This window comes from Homo sapiens, chromosome 1 (assembly GCF_000001405.40).
Source record: "Homo sapiens chromosome 1, GRCh38.p14 Primary Assembly".
NCBI classification, from domain to species: domain Eukaryota; kingdom Metazoa; phylum Chordata; class Mammalia; order Primates; family Hominidae; genus Homo; species Homo sapiens.
The window spans coordinates 103,522,553-103,544,318 of record NC_000001.11 but is presented as its reverse complement, the minus strand read 5'-3'; the positions used below and the strand labels follow the sequence as shown (position 1 = coordinate 103,544,318).

At 36.2% G+C, this 21,766-nt stretch overlaps 1 protein-coding gene, 1 long non-coding RNA gene and 1 pseudogene across 4 annotated transcripts in view, besides 2 other annotated features; 1 reads left to right on the top strand and 2 right to left on the bottom strand.

The window, feature by feature from the left end:
* The window catches only part of RNPC3 (RNA binding region (RNP1, RRM) containing 3), a 29,541-nt gene extending 10,921 nt beyond the window's left edge, over nucleotides 1–18,620 (bottom strand). Inside the window, exons 1-9 of the mRNA NM_017619.4 lie at nucleotides 18,057–18,620; nucleotides 16,577–16,624; nucleotides 10,462–10,580; nucleotides 9,462–9,545; nucleotides 8,878–8,989; nucleotides 8,125–8,193; nucleotides 6,835–6,977; nucleotides 2,844–2,969; nucleotides 872–1,023 (exon numbers count right to left, since the gene is read on the bottom strand). Of these exons, the coding sequence (NP_060089.1) occupies nucleotides 872–1,023; nucleotides 2,844–2,969; nucleotides 6,835–6,977; nucleotides 8,125–8,193; nucleotides 8,878–8,989; nucleotides 9,462–9,545; nucleotides 10,462–10,580; nucleotides 16,577–16,624; nucleotides 18,057–18,248 (1,045 nt within the window). The 5' untranslated portion in view covers nucleotides 18,249–18,620. The remainder of the gene's footprint in view (nucleotides 1–871; nucleotides 1,024–2,843; nucleotides 2,970–6,834; nucleotides 6,978–8,124; nucleotides 8,194–8,877; nucleotides 8,990–9,461; nucleotides 9,546–10,461; nucleotides 10,581–16,576; nucleotides 16,625–18,056) is intronic.
* Nucleotides 18,169–18,408: an enhancer, noted in NCBI's record as "active region_1413". NCBI's record gives its function as "activates an Ori minimal core promoter by ATAC-STARR-seq in GM12878 lymphoblastoid cells {active_cell/tissue: GM12878}" and the evidence as "EXISTENCE:reporter gene assay evidence [ECO:0000049][PMID:35858748]".
* Nucleotides 18,729–18,828: a silencer, noted in NCBI's record as "silent region_1128". NCBI's record gives its function as "represses an Ori minimal core promoter by ATAC-STARR-seq in GM12878 lymphoblastoid cells {active_cell/tissue: GM12878}" and the evidence as "EXISTENCE:reporter gene assay evidence [ECO:0000049][PMID:35858748]".
* The window catches only part of RNPC3-DT (RNPC3 divergent transcript), a 108,529-nt gene continuing 105,573 nt past the window's right edge, over nucleotides 18,811–21,766 (top strand). For all 3 annotated transcript variants that reach the window (NR_168321.1, NR_168320.1, NR_168319.1), the window contains exon 1: nucleotides 18,811–18,923. This is a non-coding gene — a long non-coding RNA (RNPC3 divergent transcript). The remainder of the gene's footprint in view (nucleotides 18,924–21,766) is intronic.
* Nucleotides 20,440–20,757, bottom strand: RN7SKP285 (RN7SK pseudogene 285; annotated as a pseudogene).

The window sequence follows — 21,766 nt, the reverse complement described above, 5'->3', positions numbered from 1 at the left end:
TAGATAACAAACTTTCAACAAGTCATTAATGAGTGAATGATAAATACCGTCAAAACATTATGTTCATTTAAAAAATAAGAGTGAAATGTGTTCATACATATACAGGATAAGGTCTGGAAGGATACATACATACACACACACAAACACACACACATGTATGTATATACACATACCAAATTGCTAACAGTATTTGCCTTTAGGTAGTAGGACACAGGAGAGTGAGGTTTGAGGTGTTAACTTTTTAACAATTTTACTTTGTTTTGGTTACATTTCTATCAACTTGTATTATTTCAGAAATTTCAAAATAAAGACTTAAAGAACAAAAGAACACCATTATATCATCAAGTTCATGGTTAAAACAAGTAAAAAAAATCTGTAATTTCAATACATTTGTTTTAAACTTAAGAATAGTATTCTTGGCAAACAATCTTCCATGTCTTTTGGATTAAAAAATATATATATGTATTTTTACATTAAGTCTACAACTCACAAAATAGTCACATTGCTTGTTTTCTAACCAGTATTAATATAGTTACACTAATAAAACCATAGGCCACGGCATGAAACAAGAAATGAAAAAGTCAATAAAAGAAACTCCATTATATTTTTAGTGTAAACATCAGCAAAAAGCACTAAATTTCATTCTAGAGGTCATTATTAGCAAAGGGTAACAGTGACAATCTCACCGTTTACCATCAATTTCTGTTATATAAAAAAGTTGAAAGCGGATATTATTCCATGATTTTGGGAAACACTAATTGCATATTTTAAATAAAGTTGACAAATACTAAAATATGAAACATTATATGTAAAACTTAATTCTAACACAATAAGTTGATTTCAGCATGTGAAATAACTAGAATATCCTTACCATGATTTTTTTCCTCACAATTTTGTTCCTTTTCTAAATCTTTCTTAAATGCAGCTGGCATGTCGGTAGATATATGGAATTCAATTCTTTTGTTACCTACAGGTTGTGGTTGGTCAAATACATCTGAAGGTAACAGCACTGGATGTAAACTGCTATTTAAAAACAATCATAGCATTAGTTTGTAATTGCAAATAAAATCCTGAGTAAAATATTATTTCAAGTTTATTTTAAATTTTAAAAGTTAACACTGATAAAGGACTCACTACACTTTTGATATTCAATAAAGTGAGTGACTTAGACTTATTAGTTTAATAAACTTTAATGCTCTAATATAGGTACTACTAAATTATTAGTTTACACATAAAAAGACCGAGGTTCAGCGATGTCAATAATTTGTATAAGGTCATTCTGTAAATGACAGAGAAGGGATTTGATGACTCTTGATTCTAAACACCAGGATATTTATTAATATGCAAAACAGTGCATTCTATGTTTGATATTTTAAACATATCTATATAATATTAGACTTTGATGACTTAAAATTGTCAATAGTCACATTAAAACCATGAAAAGAAACAGATGAAATATTGATAATATAACGTATTATTTCTCATTATATCCAAAATATTATTTCAGCATATAATCAATATAAAAAGTTATCAAGATATTTTACATTATGTTTTCATACAATTTTAATGTGGCTCACATTAATTTCTACTGTTCAGTGTCACTATAAAGATTCAAAGGGAAAAAAAGGTAAAATACTCCAAATCAAACATGTATAAAACAAGTATCATTTTACTGGCAACTTCTGGACTATAACAAAATGTCCAAAACACAGTGGAAAGGTAAGGTATATCTACTAACATTCTTGGATAACTACGGTCTGACCCTTATCCCAAATCTGCAAATTATTTAGGAAGTTTATTACAAGATAAAGTAGTGCAAAAGGAATTCTTAATTTTTAAAAATATCAATGGCATTCCAATGGCTTCTTCAATAAATTCAAACTCCATCGCCTAACATTTAGGGGAGGTTTCACATCCTTCTAGCTTTCCCTTTCATCATTTCTATTCCTATTCAATACATTTTCCTACCTCTGGAAACTTTCCTTTTATTCTTCCACTCACATAGGATACAGTTTCCCTGCCTAATTTTTGTCTCCCCTCCTTAAAGGGCCAGCTCAAATATCTCCTCTCTCTTACAACCTTTTCAAATTTCTCAACTGGCTGTGACCTCTCTTTTCTCACAACCTTTTAGTTCTTAGTTTATATTTCCTATGTCATGTATTATAATTGCTAATGCAATAATCATCTGTGCATTTGGCTTATTATACTTAAGACTATTAACTCACTGTTTGAAAAGACAGCATTAAACTTTAAAAGCATGCTTCAAACTACACACAATATTTAGCAGAAAACCTTACCATACACTCAATAAATACTTAAAGGCACTCGGGTTAGTCCTGTGTGCCAAGTAAAGATATGTGAATTTTTATCTGCTGGGTACTTTTTAAGTAAAAAATGTTTGATATCAGGTGATGGAGTTAAGAGAAACTAAATAACTGTATATAAACACACTGATGTTTATATTAGTGACATTATTCACTAATATATTACACTAGTGACAGTAATGTCACTAACAAAACTGTAAATGCACGAGGAGAAAGAGAAAAGAAATGATAAAAGGAAAGTAAATGAATTTTGTTTTCGACAATATCTTAAGTGCCTATAAGATATTCTGAGTCTGCAGACAGGAAGCTGGAAGCAAATACCTTAAGGCTTACGACAGAGAAGAGAGTAGTGGTCAACTGTGAGAGAATTATGAATATTTGTAAATTTGGTAACTAGGAAGCCAATGTAAACCAAGAACACTGACAGGAAACAAATGCCAGAATGAAGAATGATGTGAATTAAGCAAGTAAACAAAGTACATACAGACAACCCTCATTTCTTAGTTCAAATAAAATTACCTGTGTGAAGGACACAAAGGTGTATTCAACATATCCTTTATTTTTCTCTTTTTTCTCACATGGCGCTGCTTTATTGTTTTAGGTCTTTTGGGCTGAAGATTTGCTAGTTCCATTAATTTGTTCATTCTACAATGAGGAGAGGGATGATAAACAAAATTTCCTTTCTAGAAGCATAGCTATTTACCACTGTTTCTATTAACGTTAAATTTGTATTTTGGTGTATAATTTAAATTATAAAATGATTTACTTACATCAAATATATAGAACACCATCAATTAAGAGATAATCAATTTGATAAAAGCTCAAATACTAAATTGCCTTGCTTAGCTTTCATCTTACTTAGAAAAAATTAAAAATAGACTTAATTACATATTATCAATTTTTAAAATGTATGTTTCATCATAAGCAGTTGCCGAAATAAAATGGCTGGACTTCATGCCAAACGGCTGAACAAGATACAATAATAAAATCGATATAATATTAATGTTCTTAAATCATTTTTATTCATATTCTAATTATTAAACGGAGCCTGGACTGAAATATGTCATTTAAAAGCATTTTGTGAATAACTGTTGCAAATCATTATATAAATAAGGTAACTTAAATTACCTGAGAACTGTTTTCAAATACTGTACTATGCTCTGAAGTAGTTTCAGGAAGTGACAACACCTGTACATAGCTTTTCTCTATTAAGAATATGAATATTTAATATTAAAGATAGATCTTGTCTAGGCATTTCTGTATCATCTACAGAGCAGGAACTTGGAAACCGCTAGTCCCAGCTCTACTTCTCAGGGTGGTATTTGTAAAATACACACACAACAAAATACAAAAGAGAGGAAGGAGGGCATTGTTCAAATAAGCTTTAAACCTTTTTTCCCTGAGGAAAAATGAAAACATATGCTGTAATTTAAACCCTTTTAAAAAACCATGGTTTACCAAAAACTTTATGAAAAAATTTAGTTATTCAAAGTATATGTCCATATTTATAAATTGCTGACCCAAAGTACACCAAGCCTCTACAAGAGTGCTAGGCATATATTCAGTAATTATTGGCTGAATAAATGAATAGTACAGGTTGAGCACCCCTTATCCAAAATGGCTGGAACCAGAAGTATACCAGTTTTGTAATATTTGCATATACGTGAGATCTCTTGGGGATGAGACACAAATTTAAACACGAAATTCATTTAAGTTTCATATACAACTTATACACAAAAGACTGAAGATAATTTTATACAATATTCTTAATAATTTTGTACATGAAATAAAGTTTGTGTACATGGAAACATCAGAAAGCAAAAGTGTTGGCTGGACATGGTGGCTCACGCCTATAATCCCAGCACTTTGGGAGGCCAAGGAGGGCGGGTCACTTGAGCCCAGGATTTTGAGACCAGCCTGTGCAACATGGTGAAACCCTATCTCTACAAAAATATGAAAAATATTATATTAACCAGGTGTGGTAGCACATGCCTTTAGTCCCAGCTACTGGGACTGATGCGGGCAGATTGCTTGAGCCCGGGAGGTTGAATATGCAGTAAGCCATGACTGTACCACTGCACTCCAGTTAGGGCGAAAGAGTAAGACCCTGTCTTAAAAAGAAAAAAGAAAGAAAGAAAACAAGCAAAGGTGTCACTAAGCCAGCCATATGTGGTATCATACTGGTACTCAAAAAATTACAGAGTCTGAAGCATTTTGGATTTCAGATTTAGTTTAGAGATACTCAACCTGTACCATTTTTCTTTTGTTTAGGTCTTGTTACATTTCCTGAAGATAAAAGAGAAGCATGAAACTAGAGCTTGGTACACTCAAAGGCTATGTTCTCTCTCAGGACTCAAGATGAATTACTGGCAGAATTCCTCACTACATCCTTTAATGGAAACCTAAGTAAACAAACAAAAAAGGGTTTGGCCAGGTTACTGTAGCATTTCTAATTACTATCATTATTTTTATAAAGAAAGTGAAGTTCACAGAGGTTAAGTAATTAGTCCGCAGTTAACACTCAACAAGTTAAAGTAACCATCTATCAGGCACTGCCTGTTTCCCTAAATGTCTCTTTTTAAGACAGATAGTGTATTCACTCCCATTTTATAGTTTCAGCCCCACCTATGCTTTGATTTTAACTCTTCCCTTAGAAAGATAATATACTGCACATTGTACCACTACTTGGGTGGACACTGACTCAGTCAAATTGCGATTATTTGTATATGTTGCTCAGAGTCTGCTTGGGTTCTGCCTCATGCCAACCACTCACACCTCCTATATACCACTTCTTCCGTGCACAGTCACCTAAGATTTTGATCATTTTCCCATTAGAGTCCTGCAGACAGGGGTTGACAAACTACAGCTCAATGACCAAATCCAGCTAGCTGCCTGTTTTTGTAATTAAAGTCTAGTTGGAATAAGGCCACACCAACTCATTAGGTATACTATCTATGGATGCTTTCCTACTACAAGGGTAGAACTGAGTAGCCACAACAGAGACCACATGACTCTCAAAGTCAAAAATATTTACTCTTTGGACCTATAAAGAAACAGTTTGGCAATTCCTGTTCTGAGCCAGGCTGTGGATTATATACATGACCATTATTAACAATGTACTATTCTATGTCAGAATCCTTAAATAAAATGCATAGATTGTCAAGAACTATCAATAAAAAGAATAATTCATCTGCAGTAGTTACTAATTATAGTTTTGTATGAAATCCTAAAGAATTACTCTAGAAATTATTCTGAGGTAAGTAGAGTCCAGAAGAATAAGCATCTGTCAAAACATGAACATGGTCGATGTATGTTATGTTCTAAGTTATGTTCTAAGGTTACCATAAACACTAAATCACTGTCCCTAGGAAAATTCAGCATTAGGTTCTTGGAAGTCTTTGTTTACAACATCTTGTCATCTGATCAATACATTACCTTGTTTGATATGTGTTTATGTCTAAGAACACCTTACTTAATATACACTGTTGATTCATTAACATTGACTCACAGTCAATACTATCGTAACTCTGGCCTGAAGGAAAGCCATGTATTTTCTCCATCAGGCTTGACATAGCGTTCTTGAGCTCAGGAACACTAAAGAGCACTTCAACACCATGCTCAAGGGCCATTTTAAACACAAGAGTCACAACAAAAAAACTCAAAAATGTGAAAAAAGGTAGTGCTGAACAGACTATGAAAAGGATACTTGTTTGTAGTATAAGAACTGAAACAAGAAGGCAGAGGGTGTCTTTATTTGACTTCATCTCAGAACGTGTGTGTTGGCTGACTCAAATTTTTCATCACATGGTACAATGTCCATTTCCACAAAAAAACTTTAAAAAGTACATCGAGGCCAGGCACGTGGCTAATGCCTGTAATCCCAGCACTTTGGGAGGCTGAGGCAGGCGGATCACCTGAGGTTGGGAGTTCGAGACCAGCCTGACCAACATGGAGAAACCCCATCTCTACCAAAAATACAAAAATTTATCCAGGCATGGTGGCACATGCCTGTAATCCCAGCTACTCGGGAAGCTGAGGCAGGAAAATCGCTTGAACCTGGGAGGCAGAGGCTGTGGTGAGCTGAGATCGCGCCATTGCACTCCAGCCTGGGCAATAAGAGCGAAACTCCGTATCAAAAATAATAATAATAATAATAATAAATAAAAAGCACGTCGATTATTGATTTTGAAGTCACAAATAAATTTTAGCACATAGGCAAATTCTCAGATATGGAATCCACAAATAACAAGGCTCGAACGTACTTTATAATACCATAATCATCAATCTAAAAAATTATGCATAATCCAAAAATTTTCACTTAGGTCTTGTTATCTATTCTCAGGTCTTAATTTATAGCTGCTATATATGCCTGAGGTGCTGGGGGGCTGAGGACAAATTCTAATCACCCCAAACTATTAAGTATTATACACACAAAATCTAGGGAGAGCAAGAGTCTCTTTCTTACATTCTATGTTTCTTGGAAACTAAACAAATTTTTCATGTTACAAACCTCTGTCGGTCCTCATCATCAGTGCTTTCATATTCTGATTCTTCACTAGATAATTCCTCATCCTCGTCTGGCAAAGGAGGTTCCTCAGGTGGCTGAGGAGATGTGGGTGGAAGAGGTGCATGCAATGGCATATAGTCTTCATACTAATTAAAAGAATAAAACAAAAATACTATGGCAGTCCAAAATATTTATAGAACAAACTCCATCTGAATACTTCATTCTCATTTCTATCACATGGTCTTTTTTTTTTTTTAACACATTCTACACATATTAAGGGAACACCTTGTATGGCAGATCACTAGCTGATGACAAAATTTGTCTCTTCTTCCTTTACCCTCAGCTGAACTAAATTTTCAAAGCTCCTCTGCAGTTATATTTCTCCTTGTAACTGAGTTATAGCCAATGAAATGAGACCATTAAAAACTCCCACATACAATTCTTCCTTCCTGATCTGCAGACTGTGTAGCAATGTCTTCATCAACCTGGGAAGGCACATGGTCGAAACAATTCAGGTGTTTTTCGTGGCTCAGTAGAACAAAATATCCCTCTGCTCTACTTTTGGAAAGGATCTGACATAACCAAAAATAACTTTTATTGTATTAAATGACTAAGAATTTATTTGTTAACAGCAGCTAGTATAACCTTAACTAATTCTCCAGTAATATATCAAGCATTGAGTAGGTGTTGGGGTTACAAAAAGAAAAAAAAAACAAATCCTAAAGTTAATAGTACATACATTAGAAAAGAAACAAATCCCAAACCACATTCTCTTCTATTCATATATGAACACTCAAAGTATTAATAATTTTGCATTGCTATTATTCATAAATATACTAGTACTACAGCAAAAGAATAACTAAAATTATTCAAGAGCAGGTATAGCCTACTTCTAAATTATTGACAGATTTGCATAGTCAAGTCTAATAAAAATATCAGCTCCCTTTTTCGTCTTTTGCAAAAAAAGCTCTATTTGTGACAAAACCAGAACTATGAAATCTTTAGGTAATTTAGTTAAATATAACTACCTTATAGGATGGCACAATGTTTTGGCTCAAAAAACTTAACAACACTGGATGAAATGATAGCCTTTATTGACAAAAGCATTTCTTTCATATTCCGGCTTTTACTCACTTAACAGTTCTCAGTTCTACTATTATCATCATATTACTTTATACCCGTTCCTTATTTTCAATGTACATCAGAGGTTGCTACAACACCTGTATAATTCAGCCTCAATAATCCCATTCAGGAAGAGAAATTTTGACTTGAAAATTCTAAGAGTTTTCTTACCATGGGAGGTCGCGCAGTAATTGGTCCAAAAGGTGTGGGCAAATTCATTTTATTCATAAGATGAAGGACCTTAAAGTGGTAAGACATTTAAATTCACATATAAAATGATTCAACTCACATCTTGTATTTTATGTACTAAGAAACTTTGCTATAACACTATTTATTGAGTGTAAAGGAAGACCTGCCCATCTCTTGCCTTTAAAATCTCTGCATAAGGTAAAACAAGGCATTAGTATATCTCAGATTAACCTTCCTAAAATGTCAATTCTACATGTTCAATTAGTCCCATCGCTAAGAATGTAACGTTCTTGCAATATAAAAACCACTGAAATGATTTTATATCTTTAACCCAATTATTGTAAAATTATAAAATAGAGAAATACATTAAAAAATAAACATCATCTATACTTTGTACTTCAAAAAAATATGTTATTACTGCCAATATTTTTAAGCATTTGCTCAGGGGTCTACTATAACTTTTCTTTTAAGAATCTCTATGTTAATGATGTATTCTAAAGTAATAGAGAATTATCACAAATTACATTTCCCAAACTAGCTTCTGTTTATTAGTATCCACTTATACGATACCTTATAAAAGTCTCTACTTGGAAGTAGAAAATATTTAATTACATTTAAAATACTGTATCACTGGCTGTCTAGAATTAGTCTGATTACTTTTATGAGAATCAGCATGAAAAATAAAGTATCAAGCTATACAACAAGTCCTTTTAGGAAAAGTTTTATTCTACTTACCTGTACATAGAACTTAGGCACGCTTGCCAAGGCATTTACAATGTTTGCTAGGATTGTGCTGGAAGGTGGTGGGTACATATACTTGAGGCATGAATTTAAAGGAAAAGTCAGCCTATAAAACAAAAAACATTTAAGATGCTTATGTTTTCATAATTTCATATCAGTAACTCATTTTAGGTAACCTGATAACAAACACACTGCTCAAATGATACAGTACTATTAGATTTACCTTGTTCCTAAAAGATCCAAAGTACATTTAAAAAGAAAAATAAGCTACTGCATTTCTTGGCAGAGGTTTATCTTGTAGCTCTGAACATCTTAATAGATGCTTTATCTGCACTGAATTCAGTGACAAACTCAACTCAAAATGTTTATTCAACATATTAAAAATATGCATGACATTAAATATCTTTGTTTTTAAAATTATCTTATTTGCAATAAGATATCTGTATATAACACAATATACAATAAGCAATAAGATATCTGTATATTACAATATATAATAAGCAAAAAGCAGTAAGATATCTGTACATCTGTATATAACACAGAACAAAAGCAAAAGAAAAGCAAACAAAAATGCTAACCCATGGTTTGGTGCAATTCCATTTTCTACTGTTAAATAACCAAGTTCTTTTTTTTCTTTATCATCTTCGACAGGGTCATCAGACCTGGGACATACAGAATCAAAGTTAATCTTATCTTTCCAAAGGGTGAAAAACTGCACACAGAAAAGATAAATTACCTTTTCAAACATGTCATTATAAAAACAGCTTCATTAAAAAAAAAAAAAAACTTTCAAGTATTTCTCAAGCAAACACCAATAAATGGGAAGGGAACTAAAATTAACTAAAAGTAACCTTCACTGAATCCTTTCTGTATTATTATTACATTGAGCACTACACATTTTCATATACTCTTCACAGCAAGACTATGAAGATGGCATAATTGTCACTGAACAAAAATAAAACTAAAGTTTACATGGTATAAAACAGTGGTAATCAAATGTCTTTAATGTGTGTCATAATCACTTGGAGAGTTTATTAAAACTCATAGACTTCTACAACATTTTCCCATCCCTTCCATCCCTCAGTTAAGTTTCTGATTCAGTAAGACTGGGTTAAAGCTCAAGGTTCTGTATTTTGATCAAGTTTACAGATGATACAGCTGATCTAGGGACCACACTTTGAGAACCACTAGTGTAAAGCAAATTTGTGAAGCTGTACTACGAAGAGTCACAGCCAGAAACAAAATGCCAGTCTTGATTTCATGACACTGTTATATCTCTGATACAAAGACTTCATACTAGTTATTTTCCCTCCATTGAAAGTTGAAGATGAATTCGTTTCAGCCCACTCCCTTGCCACTTCACAATGATTAACCCATAATATTAAATCTGGTTCCTAATGCACAATTAGCAGCAAAAATAAACATACTGTTTTACTGTACTAGGTTTAATGGAAAAATCTGTCATTCCTCTTCCAATTACTTGCTAGTCTGAAAACAATACAATAACTGTATAACTGATTTAAAAAAACACACACTTTAAAAATGTAACAAAAATGTATGATTTACTGATCTACATACCTTTTTTTTTTTTCAGAGCCTGAAGTGGGACATGGGGAGTGAACTCGATCTTGCTCTTTTGCAAATTCAACGACTAAAGTATGACCTAAAAGTTTCAGTTGATGGAGTCTTGTCAATGCCTTCAGTTAAAAGAACAAGAGTAAACATTTCACAATTGTACCAAAAATGATTCGTTAGAGACCAATTTTTATACTTTTTTTTTTTTTTGCTAATGCTGTAAACAGTTCCTTGACTATTTCCTAATTTATTTTTAATCTCAGGCTATCAAGCCTTTATTACTTATTAAAGGACTACTTCCTATAACTTAGGAAAATAAAAATCTAGCTAAATCCCACTTTATGCCAGCTCTGCTTATACCCAGGCAGCTGAAAATGGCTAGAAAACAAACTAACAAATTTCCCTGGCCTCACTTTCAATTTATAAAAACTACCACAAATCTCAGGGTGATTTTTAATTATGCCACAAAATTACTTATTACAATCTTAGTCTATTTTTTCCACCTATATCTCAGAGAGTATTTTGTACTTTCTCCTTGTTCCTTAACCTCACAATATTTTTCTTGTATTCCGTTAGCTTAGCACCTTGTTTTCTACTTTGAGACAACAGAATTGATGACATGAGAATATCAGACTCCCACTATAACCCCCCATCTACCAGCATATGCATGCTATCTGTTATCATCTATTAACTATCCACATGCCTATCTAAATCCAGCTGCTTAACTTATATACTAAATTCCATCCTCTCATCTCCTCAAGGGTCTTTACTTAGCTATGCTCTGGAATTGTGTGTGGTGAGGGGTGTGGAGGGTGATCTTATTTATACTGTTAATTTACTGTCCTCTATTGGATTATCCGTATCAGTATGAAAACATGCTCCTATTTCTCCCATCCTAAATTTGTATTATTAGTTTTGCAGTAAAACTCTGTACAAGCTATCTAAACCCTCTATCTACAACTCCTCTCTGCCTATTCAGTTTCAAACCTATTTCAATCAGGTTAATGCTTTAATAAGTTTACTGAGACTGCTTATCATAGACAACAAATTTTGCATTGTTGGGCTAATGATCAACTCCTAGTCTTCACTTGGTTGCATTTAACATAGTTAATCACTCCTTCCTGGATACATGTCATTCACTTGGCTTCAAGACTTCATACATTCTTAGTTTTCTTCCTAGCTCGCTGGTTTGTACTCCTCCATCTCTTTGACTTGTGCCTTCTCTCACGTTCTTAATGTTAGAATGCTCCAGAGCTCTTGTCCTGGTCTTCCTCTCTCTCTCAACATATTATGTTGGTGATTTAATCCAGCATCCGAACTTTAAATCTGTATGCTAATGATTCACTAATTTATAATTTCAGCACAGACTTCTGTCCTGAAGTCAAGGAACACATATTCAAATAATGGATAGCGCCCCATAGATATCTAACAAACATTTCAAATTCAACATTTCACTTAATCTTTCCCCCAGCCCCAAATGTGCTCCACCAGGAGCCATCTCTATTTCAGTTGATAGCAACTCCATTCTTCCAATTATTCAGGTCAAAAATCTTGTAATCATCCTTAATGCTTCTTTCCTACATTCCATATCCAAGTCATTAAGAAATCCTGTTTGCCTATACCATAAGGCCATAGTCATCAAAACAGCATGGTACTGGTATAAAAATAGGCACATAGACCAATGGAACAGAATAGAGAACACAGAAATAAACCCAAATACTTACAGGAAACTGATCTTCCAGAAAGCAAACAAAAACATAAAGTAGGGAAAAGACACCTTATTCAACAAATGGTGCTGGGATAATTGGCAAGTCGCATGTAGAAGAATGAAACTGGATCCTCATCTCTCACCTTATACAAAAATCAACTCAAGATGGATCAAGGACTTAAATCTAAGACCTGAAACCATAAAAATTCTAGAAGATAACATCAGAAAAACCCTTCTAGACATTGGCTTAGGCAAAGACGTCATGACCAAGAACCCAAAAGCAAATGCAACAAAAACAAAGATAAATAGATGGGACTTAATTAAACTAAAAAGCTTCTGCACAGCAAAAGAAACAATCAACAAACAGACAACCCATAGCGGGAGAAAATATTTGCAATCTATACATCCAAAAAAACCACTAATGTCCAGAATCTACAAGGAATCCAAACAAATCAGCAAGAAAAAAAACAATCCCATGGGCTAAGGACATGAATAGACAATTCTCAAAATAAGATACACAAATGGCCAACAAACATGAAAAACTGCTCAACATCACTAATGATCATGGAAATGCAAACCAAAATCATGAGGCAATACCTCCTTACTCCTGCAATAATGGTCATAATGAAAAAATCAAAACATAATAGATGTTGGCAGAATATGTGGTGAAAGTGACTTTCACACTGCTGGTGGTAATGTAAACTAGTACAGTAAGTATGAAAAATAGTGTGGAGATTCCTTAAAGAACTAAAAGTAGACCTACCATTTCATCCAGCAATCCCACTACTGAGTATCTACCCAGAGGACAATAAGTCATTATACAAAAAAGACAGTTGCACATGCACGTTTATAGCAGCACAATTTGCAATTGCAAAAATACGGAACCAGCCCAAATGCCCATCAATCAATGAGTGGATAAAGAAATTATGGTATATATATATATAACATGGAATACTACTCAGTCATAAAAAGGAACAAAATAATGGCATTTGCAGCAACCTAGATGGAATGGGAGACCATTATTCTAAGTGAAGTAACTCAGGAATCAAAAACCAAACATCGTATGTTCTCACTCCTAAGTAGGAGCTAAGCTATGAGGACCCAAAGGCATAAGAATGATACAATGGACTTTGAGGACTCAGGAGAAAGTGTTGGGAGTGGGGGTGAGGGATAAAAGACTTCACAATGGGCACAGTGTATATTGCTTGGGTGACAGGTACATCAAAATCTCAGAAATCACGACTAAAGAACTTATTCATGTAACTAAACACCACCTGTTCCCCCAAAACCTACTGGAATAAATACAGTAAGAAATCCTTGCTTCTACCTTCAAAATATATAAAGAATCTAATCACCGCTAACCACTACCATTGTGGTCAAGGCAACCATCAATTCTGGACTGAATTACCACAATATTTTAACGGATTTCCCTGTTTCTACCTTTCCCTCCCTTCAGTCTAGTCACAACAGCAAAAGCAATTCTTTGAAATACCAAGGTCACCCCCTTGCTCCAATGGCTCCCTATTTTACTGACAGCAATCTAAGTTCCTTACTATAATCTACATAATATAGATTCTATGACTTCTCTGACTTCAAATCCAATGATCACTCCCACTCCTGCTCCCACAGATCACTCCCACTATGTCTGCTCCAGTCACAGTGGCTTCCTTGAACAACGTGACAGGCATGGTCACATCCTAGAGCCCCTGTTCCAGCTGTTCCTCTAATTCAAAGGTACTTCTCCCAGAAATTTCATTAGCTAACTCCCTTCGCATCCTTCAAATTGTTGTTCAAATATAACCCTAACTACAGCCTGACCTCTCCCCACTTAGCACTCCTGATCTTATTGCTCTACTTGTCCTTTTTCCATAGCATTTATCATCTTCTAAAATATTAAAGTTTATTATTTATTGTCTGTCTCCCCTTTTGAGAATATGAACTATAATCATCTTTGTCTTCACATATAATCCCAAAACCTAAATCAGCATCTAGCACATAGTAGGTACTTAATATTTTTGAACACATGAAAGTACAAGCCTTAACCAGAGACCGGTTTTGTGCAAGACAATTTTTCCACAGGCTGGGGTGGGGGGTGGGGAGAAGATGGTTTCGAGATGAAACTGATTCATCTCGGATCATAAGGCATTAGTCAGATTCTCATTGAGAGCGCAACCTAGATCCCTTGCATGTGCAGTTCACAACAGGGGCCAAGGCACTGCTGATCTGACTGGAGGTGGAGCTCAGGCAGCCAGGCGGAGTCGCCCTGAATAGAGATAAAGCTTCCTCAGCCTGCCAGTCACCTCCTGCTGTGCGGCCCAGGTTCTAACAGGTGGTGGTTAGGTACCAGGCCGTGGCTGGGTACCAGTCTGTGTCCCAGGGTTTGAGGATCCCTGCCTTACATCATCATACAAAGTTAATTTTAAAATGTTTCAATAATTTTCAAGACCCTAAATGAACTTTAGACCTCTTTATTATCAGTGAAGCCTTGATTATCTGAAATGAAGGTCATCTAACCTGACTTACTCCAACTTTCTTCTTCTCAAATGGGTATCACATATGTTCTTATTTTCAAAGATTTATGGTTTTTCATTTTTAATGTTAACTCCTCCTACCTGACTCGGCTACTTACTCTATTCTTGAACATTTCTCCCTTTGTTTTCTTAATCTATCACTTTCCAATTAGGCCAAATGCTCTCTAGCCTAAAAGCCCTATCAATATTGCCGTTAACCTCTTACTGCTTCCTTTCACTACAGACATTTCCAAAGACAATGACTGGCTCCATGTCCTCTCCTCCAAGTTATTCTTGACCCTAAAACAATGCGTTTTTCATTACCATACTTTATTTACAATGTATTATGATATATTTTTAAAAATACTTTTTTTCTGAAAAAAAATTACCTACCATTATAAAAGTACATATTAATATAATATGAAAGCCCTCTGTAATCCTACTCTCAGAGAAAGATGTTTTTAACATTTTGGTGTATAGTTCTGCCATATTTTTTCTGTGTATATGCTAACATGTATACTATTAGTTTCAAAAAATCTGAGGTTACATCATATATAATGTTTCACAACTTTATTCATGTACTCTATCTGGGCTATCATTCCATATTAACACATACCATTTGACATCATTCTCAGACAGTTGCAGTCCAGTATATGGATATAATGTGATTTAAGGCTTCCCTTCCTTTTACCGATGAGAATTTGGGTCATTTCTATTGTTTCATGGCAAAAAGACTTTAATAGATGTGTTCATTCCTCATTTTGCATCATCACAGGATTTCATCTTCTTAAAACACACTTCTCTTTGCATCAGTGATAATTTCCTTTCTAGTTCTCCTACTTTAACTGCTCCTTCCCATTCTTCTCTCCTAGCTTATTATCCTTTGGGCAAACATATCTATTCACATGGTTGAAGAATCTTTCCATTCTTCACCTTGCCTCAGCTCTCATTAATATTTTTAAATATTTCCATAAAAGTAGCCCAATGACCCCTCCAAGTTAACAGATGACAAGTGAATTCATCCTATGCCTTTGCAAACATCCTCTGGATCCTCATGTCAGCTAATATAACAACCCAAATAACTCAATCCTCAATCTAAATATCCTGAACTATTCTCTCTCAACCCCTATATTATAAAACCTACAAACTCAATCTCTATTGAATATATATTTACTTCCCCCTTTGTCTTCTTACTGTCTTCTTCAGATAGTTATTCTTGCCTTGGCCATTATAACAGCCTTCCATTTGGTCTCCTACCTCTAATAATTCTGCACATCCAATCCATGATATGAACTATACCAGATATCTTTAACAGGCCTGATCATATTATGAGCCAGCTCAAAAGTATCAAGTGTCCACCTACTAAACCAAACTCAATACCTCTCTCCCAGACTCAAATCTATTTTTCAAGTTCCATTTCCATCTCAACCCTTAGCTCCTGCTCCACTTATAACTTCCAATGTCTCACAGCTTTATTTGGTGTTCTGCAAGCCCAGAAGGCCCATCTCCACTTGTTTCCTTCTGAAAAAATCCAATTAATCATTAGACTTCTAGCTAAAAGATCACCTCCTGTGAATGATTCCCTGGCATTATAAAGAAATGTATATTCTCCTTTTAACACTTGAAACATCTTACCTTGTAACAGTCACAGAGATATTTATCAATCTAAATCATTTAGAAATTGTTATTTTAATTACATACGCAGTTAGTTTTTCTTTATAGATAATCTACTAAAGGACTGGGCAAGATCTGCCAACTGACAAATCAAATGTAGTCTGTTGGGGAAACTGTTGGAATACAAACGCTTTTGCTTCTTAAAAACCACAGTTAAACATTATCTGAACCAAGATTGTATAAGAGGATCCTGTTGACAACTTTAATCGTCAAGAAAAAGTCATACCTTTATAGCTGCTTTTTCATTAGGGAATGTGGCAAAAGCTGTATGTTTCTGAAACAGAGTTAAGGTACAAATTACTTCCAATATAATTTCAGTTTCTCACAAAGAAATCTGACTTTTTACCAGTGGAGTAATGTGACATGTTAATAAAATCACGGGAAAGGATGAAAACTCAAGACCATTTAACTGATTACTAATTTCAGTCCAGTGGTTTTCAATACTTTTTGAGTCAGACTTGAGATGAAAGCTATGCAACCTCTATCATATAAAGACACACGTTTTACACATGCAAATAGTTCAAAAGACCAAAAGTTTAAAGACCTGTTCTACACAGAGGGTCACTTTTAACCAACTAAAAATTTATTTCCTTCATTTATGACAGATCTAAAGATTTTAAACTTTCCTCTATACATAACAATGCGTAGTTTAAAAACATTCACCAACAGAGAAATCGTTCTTCAAGGTGCATATTTCCTTTGTGCTTTATCTTTGTAATAATGTTCAATGGGAGAAGTCTATTTTTAAACATAAATTATACGGATTTTAAAAACCATCAGAAAAGAAACACAAATCAACAGTAAAAGAATCACTATGCTAAGGAAGAGCTCTGGTCAATGCTTATTAAAAGTTACTTTAATAATTATATCGCACATTCTAATTTTGTCTAATCTGATACACGATGACCTGATGTACTTAAATTGAGCCATATATAATTTTTTTTTTTTAATTTGCAGGCATAAGTGACATTTAAACTGATCAAAATTGGTCTTTCTTCTAATTCAGTAACTCTCAACTTGGGCTGCACATTAACATTAAAATCACCTAGGGAAACTTTAAAACCACTGAGTCTTGCACCATCGCTATTCCTATTTTAATGAAGAGAAATCTAAAATATCTTTGGATATAAAGCAAAACAAAGTAATTGTGTAAATTCCTACACAGGTACTCTTAACAGCCCTAAAAAATTGTTCCCTAAAAGATGTCATCGGGAAATTTTTATGAAAAGCCTCTTTTTCTAGTTGAAATTCTGCATTTAATTTACGCAAGTCACCAATGTAGCTTCTCCTCTATTTTAATGAACGATTTAACATTGGCTTATAAATGAAGTAGGACTTTAAAAAATCCCTTGATGCACATTTGTAAGAATACTCTTGAGTCCAGGAGAAATAACCCCAAATTCAAAAAAGTTGTGAGGCTCTCAGGATGGATCCGAAAACTCAATATAACTAAGCTAATTTCCATTCTTCTGCTTTGTCGTTCTCACTTGCCCTTTTCTGCAGTGCTATGACTAATCCAGACTCGAGCCGATTAAAACTCCACTTCGCAGAGCAGATATTTTGATAAAAAAGAGGTAGGATGGGGGAGCTCTCATCACACAAGTCCATCTTCCCCACTCGTTTCCATTTTACTCTTGTCAGCGCTCCCCCTCCCCGGTCACTTCCCAAATGCCTTCCCGGGAGACTCCGGAGGGGCGCGCCCTTACCAGTCGCCCCTTATCTGACAGGACCCGCACAGACTGAGCCCCGAAGTACTTCAGCAAGTCCTCTTTCTCCTCAGCAGTAAGCTCAGCCGGCAGGTGCCTGACCAGAAGGGTTCGGTCGCCCCGAGGCGGGGAAAGCGAGGAGGAGCTCGTGCATCCCCTTGATATCGCAAGCGGCTGCTCGGGAGCTGCCATTTTCCTTGGAGAAGCAAAAACAGAAATCGTGGGAAGAAGTCTCAGTCAAAATCGCGGCATCAACACAAGCTGGGAGAAATATTTTTTCCGCCTCGCGCTAAGGATTCTGGAAACCAGGAAATACCGAGAAAGAAAGTCACCTTCTCGCGAGAACTGCGCCACCGAAAAGCGGCAACCCTTCGAAGACTCTTCGGGGAAGGGCGCGGTGCTAATGATTTAAATTCCAGGGGTCTCCGGAAAGACTTACAAGCAAAAATTGGCCCAGAGATGTGCGAGGGTTAACACAAGTTGTCAATCAAAGAAGGAAACAGGAACCCCAGCCACTTCAGGGAAAGAAGGTTGACGCTCAAGGACAAGAGGACTCACGACTGCGCATGTGCGGGCTGGGACCGTCACAGGGCGGGGCGGGGCGCACGGCGGGGCGGGGCGCACGGCGGGGCGGGGCGCACGGCGGGGCGGGGCGCACGGCGGGGCGGGGCGCACGGCGGGGCGGGGCGCACGGCGGGGCGGGGCGCACGGCGGGGCGGGGCGCACGGCGGGGCGGGGCGCACGGCGGGGCGGGGCGCACGGCGGCGAGCGCTATCTGGAGCTGACCGTGCGGCTCTTAATCCCTGGCCTTGGGAAAGTGAATTGGCCTGAATAGCAAGGAGGAGAACTTGGGTGTGGAAATACCGGGTATGTTCTTACAGTATTTAGATGGTAAAATATAAAGCTAGCCAGTTATTCTGTCAACTCATTAGACACCATTGTAGGGAGGAGAACTCAGTTTAAGGGGCAAAACGTTGAGAGTTCAGACTTTTTTCTTGAATCAGTAGGCATTTAGCAGACGGATAGGCCCCTGCCAGGGTTCATTTCGCAGAAATGGCAGCCTCTAGGGAGAGGTAACCTAATAAATAAATTATTGCATGTGTGTGTATGTGTGTGTGTGTAGGGGTGTGTGTGTGTGTGTGTGTGTATGTGTGTGTGTGTGTAGGTGTAGGTACTTTTCTCCCTATTTTACAGCTGAGGACACTGATGTACAAAGAGGTTAAATCACACAGCTAGAAAGTGGAAGAACTAAGTTTTGACCCTTGGTGTTCTGACTGGGGGTCTACATTCTAATCCACTGTTCTGCCTAGATTCTGAATGGAGTGAGGCAGGGATCATCCCCGGAGGGTCAGGAATGTACCCCTCACCCCATACAGAGAGGGCCTTGAGGATTCTAAAGAGAGGTTTTATGCTAGATGTAGCTGCTACAGTCTGGAGAACCAGAGTTCCTCTTACAGTTCTTTTTGCCACTTAAATAAATGTTAGAGATACAGCAGTAAGCAGTATACCAGCAATCTGCTGTCATCCCGCATTGGTTGGGGAAAAGGAGAGAGACAGATATTAATGAAAACTAGAAGACAAACATGAGAAGAACCTTCCCCACACACCCACCAAAATATCAGATAGGTAGAGCCAGACCACGTAGACGCTGTAGATTTGTTAGGAGCCCTTTTTATTTGAGGAACATTTAGAAACTGACAAATTCTTTAAGTAGGTGTGTGTTGAGGGGAGAGAATCAAAGTTTAGGTATGAAAATTTCTCCGGTTGCAATGCAAAAAACAGAAGCAGAAAGACCAGTTGGACTACTGTAGAAGTCTGGAGAAAAACACTACCATAATAGTTTGGTGAAAGTGGACATGTAGAGAAGGAACTGGAATTGAGATACGTTTTAGAAGTAGTTGATAGGAACTTGCAGATGAAGAATAGTAAGCAAGGATAAATTCTGGATTTTTGGCTTAAGCTAGATATTATCCATCTGTAGATGATGATGCCATTTACTGAATGTGAGAAGATTGACCAAGTATAGCTAGGTTAGAAACTGTAGTGGGACATTGGGAATAGAGGAACATATATTAAGTTTAAGGTATCTATTCAGTATCCCTGTTTCAAGTAGGAAGTTGAATGTGTGTGTTTGGCATTCTTGGGAAAGGTTACCACGAGGTATGGCATCAACCTATATGGTATTTATATCTGAAGAATGACAAAGGGTATAGATAGAATTGTGCCCATAATGGAGTCATGGGACATGCAGATGTTGAGAAGTTGAGGCAAGGAAGAAGAAGAAGACAATCAATTCCTGCCCTCTCAATGCTTACTTTCTAAAATCAAGACAGAATAAATATGTAAATAAAGTTCTTTTCAGAGAATAATAAGTGCTTTGGAAAAAATAGGGTAGTGTTATAAACCGATTGGAGTGGTCATGCTATTTTAAACACTATCCTTCAGCGGCTTTTTTGTGTGTGTTCTTTGAAGACTTGTTTGGAGCTTCTAGCAAGGGAGCACTGCTACACGTATGCCCTTACAGAAAAATCATCCTCCTTTATGGGGGTAAGTCATCCTCCTCAGCCGAGTGGGCAGCTTTGGAAGAGACATATATGGGGCAGTTAGGAAGGAAGGGGAACCCAGCTAGTTAGCCAGATCAGCCAAATCAACTGTTGGGATCAGTTGGTGACAGGTGTCATGCAAAATGACCGTCACATCCTCCCTGTGACTCTTATGTTTAGTAAAATGTTCCAGACATAGTGCACATTCTGTAAATATCTATTCAATGAATGAATGCATGAAGGAATTCACTTTTATATTTACCACTGCCTCCTACGGTTAGGAATTACTACAGGGGCTATCAGGCAGAGTTTAATGGTCATTATCTACTGTAATTCAGGTATCATGACTGAGTGGAATAGTTACATGACAGAATTTTATTTTCTCTCTACTTAATTGCTTTTAGTTGTACTCAATGAAATCTACCTTATCCTTTCCTTGACAATATCTCAGGTAGAGGTCATAATTTTCTAGTCACTTTCAGTTGCTATCAGTACAGTTGGTTAGAGATGTCAAGTCCAAACTCCATTAAGGTGTCTCTTCTTACACTCCCCTCATATCAGGCTTGACCTAAAGGATTGCAGGAATATGTAATACACTCTAATCTTTTCTGTGTCTGAGTGTAGGTATGTGTGGTCGTATCTGAGAAGTACCTTTCTCATTCCCTCCTCTTTGTCTAGCCCAGAAGTTGCCAAACTTTTTCAGTTATTGGTAGCTTTATTGTCCCAGCAGTTTTTTCTAGCACCCCTTGATGCCACCTTATTTCCTATTCCACTCTGGTTTTCCAGGAAGCACTTGTTTTATATGAGAGCAACAGCCAAAAACCCAGCTTTTCAAATATATGACATTCTTAAAAGGAATTAAACAGTATCTAATGTTCAAATTGAGAAACATCTCAAGCTGGTAGTTCAGGTAGTGTCTGGTAAACAGTGAGTATTGCTATGTTTCCCTCAAATATTTAAAATATCCTATAGTACCTCTATAAGGTGGCAAGGGTACCTGGGGCACCTTAGCACAGTTTGAGAACTGTGAATTTAACTCATTTTCAGTCTTGATTTTCTATGTTGGGGAATGGGAGGCGGGAAAAGTAGTGGAGCTTGGGAGTGTCTGACTTCACTGAGCAATTGTTGGTTCTTTATCTCATTCTTATTCTCAGGGGTTTTGTGTGT